Source organism: Homo sapiens, chromosome 2 (assembly GCF_000001405.40).
Source record: "Homo sapiens chromosome 2, GRCh38.p14 Primary Assembly".
Taxonomy (NCBI): domain Eukaryota; kingdom Metazoa; phylum Chordata; class Mammalia; order Primates; family Hominidae; genus Homo; species Homo sapiens.
The window spans coordinates 150,639,207-150,645,206 of NC_000002.12; positions in this window are offsets into that span (position 1 = coordinate 150,639,207).

The window sequence follows — 6,000 nt, forward strand, 5'->3', positions numbered from 1 at the left end:
CTTGCACATTAATAAAACCTTTTGCAAAACTCATCTAAAACAGGCGAGCAACATTTGACTCATAAACACAGGATTAGGCTTCTGTTTGTCTTTCTCTTCCCAGAAGAGTGATGTTTTTGGTAGGAGGTTTTCCTATGTTTTCCCAATTTACCATCTCCTTCATCAAAGAAATAAAAACTTTTAAATTTGGAGGGTATAAGAACAGATGAGCTGTGGTTTCATTTTAAAAAGACAGAAAGGTATAAAATCTAAATCGCCAGAAACAAAATGTAAGTTAAGACATAACAGTTTAAACGGTGATGCTAGCTTCCCCTGGTAACTGGGATTCTAACAGCACAAAAGCTTAACAGGGTTGAGACACCCACTCTCTTATAGATGGAGAGAATATGAAAACAGCAGAGCCTGTTTTTGTTAAGTGGCACCCAAGGATGTTTCTACTCGCCCAGAATAGCACTTCAGTTCATTAACTAAAATACTTTTGTATTATGGTTGATTGGTTTTGTATTCACTTTACTTTGGAATATTTTATGAGATGCTTTCAGAAGTAAGCTTAAGAAAAACTGGGCTTTTAAAATAAGAATCAACAGGGTGGGAGGCGTTGGTATATTCTTTCATTTATTCATTTATTCAAAATATTTCTTATGCTGCCAGGTATCATGCTAACAAAGTGATTTCATAGACTGTTTGTTTGTTTGATTTAAGGATTTGGTTACTGCTTACATAAATCTTGCTCCGATAGAAAGGCAAACATTAAGCAAAGAATTGTATAATAATATGATTACAAACTGTGACAAGTAAACTGAAAGTAAAAGAAACTGACAGAAATATAATTTAGTTAGGAAAGCCTCTCTGAGGAAGTCTAGATAAGTGTGAAAGAATGACTGCATCTTAGCCAAGAATTGAAGAGAAATGGGATGGGTTTGGAGTCAGGGAAAGGGCATTCTGGAAAAAGTGAAAAAACTTGTACGAAGGTTTTATGGCAGGAAAGAACTGAGTGCCTTTGAATAAATGAAAGGGGCCAGAGGGCTGGAGCTTAGTGAAGCAGGAGTAGCATACAATCAGAGGAGGCTGGAAAACGGGAAGACAAGATGACATAGGTCCTTACAGGGTAGGTTAGGGATTTGGGGTTTTATCTTGAGTGCAACAGAAAGCATGTCCTTGAAATGCTGGAAAGCCTATTCGGCCTGCTGTGTTGAGAACGGGTTGTTGCAATGAATTAATAGTAGAAGCAGGGAGAACAGTTTAAAGGTCGAGGCAGTACTCCAAGGAAAAGATGAGATGCCATCAATGGAGCAGTGATGGAGAAATGATAGCTGAGTTTTGGGATTAATGCACTTCTAATCCTCTAGATCATGCCTACTATTTGACTTGGGAAATTACTTTAAAAAGACATTTAAGGCTAGCCATATGGCATCCTTCCATCACTATTCCATCTGAGGTGTTTTTGCTTGAGTATTTTATTTTGCTTTCTTTAAAAACAAAGTTTTCTATAAAATGTTGAAAAATAAAATATGTATAGAAAAAAGAAAGTCGTTGCTACATCATTTACATGCATGTACACACACAAACATATATTTATCTAAAAAATAAAATTATATGAACTGCTTGTCACTGCTGTTTTTCACTTAGCAATATGTCAAAGATATGTTTGCTTGTTAGATTCTGCAAATCCTGTTTCCTTCTAATGGCTTATTAGTCTTCTTACTCTATGAATCAACCATAACATATTCAATATAGGCATTTAGTTTATTTTCAAATTTTTATTACTACAATAATGCTGCATTTCTATTATTACAAATTATCCTTTAGGGGACATCTTTATTTCTGAACACTTTGATAAACACTTTAGAAAATATTTCTGTAAGATTAATTACTAGGAATAGAATTGTTAAGTCAAAGGGTTTAAATACTACATAAATGTATAAGTATTGGAAAGTTGCCCTCTCAACTGTTTTGTTTGAGATTCCAGCTGCTTTAACAATACTTTCAACAATACTGGACTTTTACTAATCTGATAAGGCTAAAATTATATCTCATTGTTGATTTGTGTTTAAATGACCGCCAGAAAGGTGGAACATTATTCTGCATGTTGATAAACTACCTGTATCTTTTTGTCTGAACTTTCTGTTATACCCTACTTCCTTTTTGTGTTATATTGTTTGTCTGTTTCTTACTGTATTGTAGCAAGTCTTCAAATATTTTGGATATTAGCCTTTGATGATGACATTTGATGCACATATTTTCTTTTACACTGTTTTGTCTTTTCACATGCTCTTATAGGCTGTTTTATAGTGAAGCGGTTTTAATTTCATATTTAGGGAGTCAAATTTGTCCCCTTTATAAATATTTTGACTATGAGGTTTTATATCTAAATCTTTCCTACCTACTATGTATCATTAAGTGCTTCAAAATAAGGAGAAACATGTATAATGTGTTCACTGACCTAGAAACGATGGGCTTGAATTTCTAATAAGAAATTACACACATCAAAACATGGAGTCTGATAATATCATGAACATGCAATTAGTTATCTCTCACTGATATAATTCACTAAATACTATCTAGGTGCTAGTCAAAAAGTTTAGGTTAATTGTTACCTGATAGTCCTAAGATAACCTACTCTTAATTAATGAGAAAAATTGCTTCCACTTTTATAGGATGTTGTCAATTCTGGCCTGAGGACACAGCCTACAGTCCCTCTTTTAAAAGAATCTAGTGATAAACATTGTTTGTGACTTTTGTCTCCAGTAGCCAGTTCCTAAGCTAGTTATTACTAGGATCCCTATATACATTTAGACTAGAGACAACTGAACAAGTATTACCAAATCTGTGACAAACAAGAAGTAACTCAGCTTGATGATAAGCTATGATTAACAAAAATCATTTCAACTACCTTCATCTTGATGTATCATAACTGAATGCATTAAAAACAATACACAACATTGAACCATAATTGCATTGCAGTTCTTTGAAGTGTGATCTCTCGGGTTCCTGATTTCATGCTCCTCCATGTAAAATGCTTCTAGACGGCATAATGTATTCTTTACCACAGTTTTCCTTTTGATGATTCAGTGCAAACTATAGCAAATATATTCAAAAGATTATAGGAGCTTGTTTGATAAAGGCAATCAGGTCCTAAATGTTTTTGAAATGAAATAATCCTATTAACTTGACTCAAAAGATTTTTTTTTAAAGATAGGTTGATGAACAAGATAGAAACTTGCAAGTTCCTAAGGCCATTGGGAAAAGTATTTCCATGGTTCTCCTAGCAAGGAAAAAAGGAAGATATATGTACTCAACATCATCTTTGATAATTCCATTCTATTTGCTTCTTCAACTGTATCGTAAAGATTCCTACAATATTCCTGGGACAACAAAAAGAAGCCCTCCTAATCAAAGAATGTTGGGAAACATGGAACTAAAATAGCTAGAGTTAAGAGAGCTGTATTGCAGAAGAATCTTCAGGGCCCTTAAGATGTTGATATTCTTTGTTAATCTCTAAGAGAGAATATTGTTTGTTGCTTTCTGAAACCAGAATTTATTTTCCAAAAAATAGAAATACTTCTGAACATTGCATGGATTTTGAGAACAACAATCTTGGATAGGCTGCCCCATGGAATTCATTTGTCTTAACTACACTGACTTCATGTCTTTCCCCTAAGACTAGAAAAATATTAGGTTTTCGTTCATCTCTTCTAAGATTTAATTCATCTCTTCTAAGGTAGCATGTCAGGCCTGACATGCTACCTATGGTCTTCTTCAAGTTATCCTTTTAATTTATGCTTCTTTACCTTTTTCTTCATATGAAAATGTTTAGGATTGCTTCATACAAAAATGCCAGTATTGTCACTGTACTGGTTCAGTTGTTTATGCATATATTTTATTGCCCATTTTATTTGTATGTACTAGTAGACTTTAATTTTATGTTTCTTGTTAAACCATCAATACCTTCAGATTACTAAAACATATTCTCTATTTTCGGTGTAATTACCCTCCATCCTCCCCCAGCACACACACCGTCTAGAATGGTTCTCTGCCCAGCGTCGATCCTGGAAGATGTAGCTGCCTGACCTTATCTAAGAGTAATGTGCCGTTGCTGTGTGGGATGCATGAGTATGAGTTTACATGCATGTTTGTGGATGGTGACTGCCTCCAAGGGCAACACCTAAAGCAGGACAGAATCAATATTCAGCAGAGTCATTTCTTTGGCAGCTGAAATGAACCTGAAGGAATCTTGCTGTCACCAATACATTCTTGAACGCCTGCAACTGTAAATTCACCCACCCACCTGAACACGCTCAAGGGAAATAATTTTCTCAGCTTTGGAATGCATCCCCCTCACAGTGGGTCAGATAAAAAGCCTCGAAGCAGTAACCGATGAGTAATGAGAGACTGTGAGAGTTGAGTCCAAGTGATATTTGCGGGAACCTTCATTAGTCAGGGTGTAATGACAGGATTGAGGCTTAAGTGCTGCTCTTGAATATTCACCTTCTGCTACTTCATATATCCTTCCTCTGTCTTGTCATCAAAAGACAATAAATTCCTTTTATTTGAGGGGCTAGAGAATGGGATGCTTTGGTTCATGCAATATTCTGGTTCCTGAGTACCGTCCCAATAGTTTAATAGTTAATTCTCATTAGCAATCGTTCTGCATTTTACTGGAAGGCTTTGGAAATAGTTATCTGGATGAATCAAGGATATTCAAGGTCTTGCAATGACAGGGGCATCATCAGGAAATTTCCATGCAAAGTACTGCACATACAAAAAACAAGCTAAAACTGTTCTGACCATAACACACACCTTAGATGTTGTTGATTTGGAAACAAACCTTATTTCCATTATTTCCATTGTCCATGTCACCCACAAAAATGAACCATGAATTAATTTTTTTCTATGCCATTTAGTTGATGTTTCTTTTTCTATGCCATTTAGTTGCTTGGTAGTAAAAAAACAGAGTTTATTCTCTATTAAGCAGTTTTCTGTGACAATAATGAGCCTATCATTGCATTTTAATTTTCAATTGAAGTGTTCTCATCAAAGAAGCAGGCTGTTGTCCAAAATGAGAAATTGCTGACCCTTTCTGGGCTTCTCTCCACTGGAAGTAGGCCCCTCCAAACATGGACACAGCTCAACCCCACTTAGTTCCTCAGAGCAGATGAGGTCATATCCTGGTGCCGTGGCGCTCTGCTCTGTACAGTCCCAATAATCTGACCATTGCTTGTGTGAAAAGTAATGCTCAGAATTTTAGATTGTACAGCTAGCTAACAGAGGAGGGTACTGTCTGTGTGGGGAACACTACGTGATTCATATTTTCTTTGAAAAATTAGAGTCATATTTCTCTGGTGTGTCAACAGTGATGACTGAAAGCAGATTGCAGATTCTTTGTACTAAACTAGAGGGAAAAAGTTGAGAGAGAGAGTGCACAGGACAGCAAATGAGACTTCTCTTCAAGCAGAGAGGACTATATTCCTAGCAAATATACCTAAATCAAGTGCATAGTCCTTGGAATGTAATAGTGTAAACTCATGATGTGAGAGAGGCCATAGTAAGAGGAAAATGTGAACAGAAATAATTATTCTTGGCTAGCTAGGAACAGAAATGAACTGAGGGCATTGAGGACATCTGAATGTTTGTGTGAGGCAAGAAAACAAGGACACACATTGAGAGAACAGTCAGGAAGAGGAAGATACTGTTCCCGAAATAATTTGGTGCTGGGACTTCAGTGCTATACTAAGACTCTCTTGTCTTCTCTTTCCTTCCTCTGTTGTCATACTGCTTTGATCCCAGCAGCATCTCTTCAAAGATGCAAGACCTAGTTTATCCCCCTGCCAAACATATATTACACCTGCCAAAATCAGACGTGAGAATATGAACCCTATCTTCAAAACAGTTTCTCTATATTTGTTAAAAATACCTGATTCTACAGTCCTCCAAGGGAGGTGGGTGGTGGGTGGTAGGTGGCCGGTGGCCGTCATTCTCTAAAGAAAAGAGAAGCTTGGG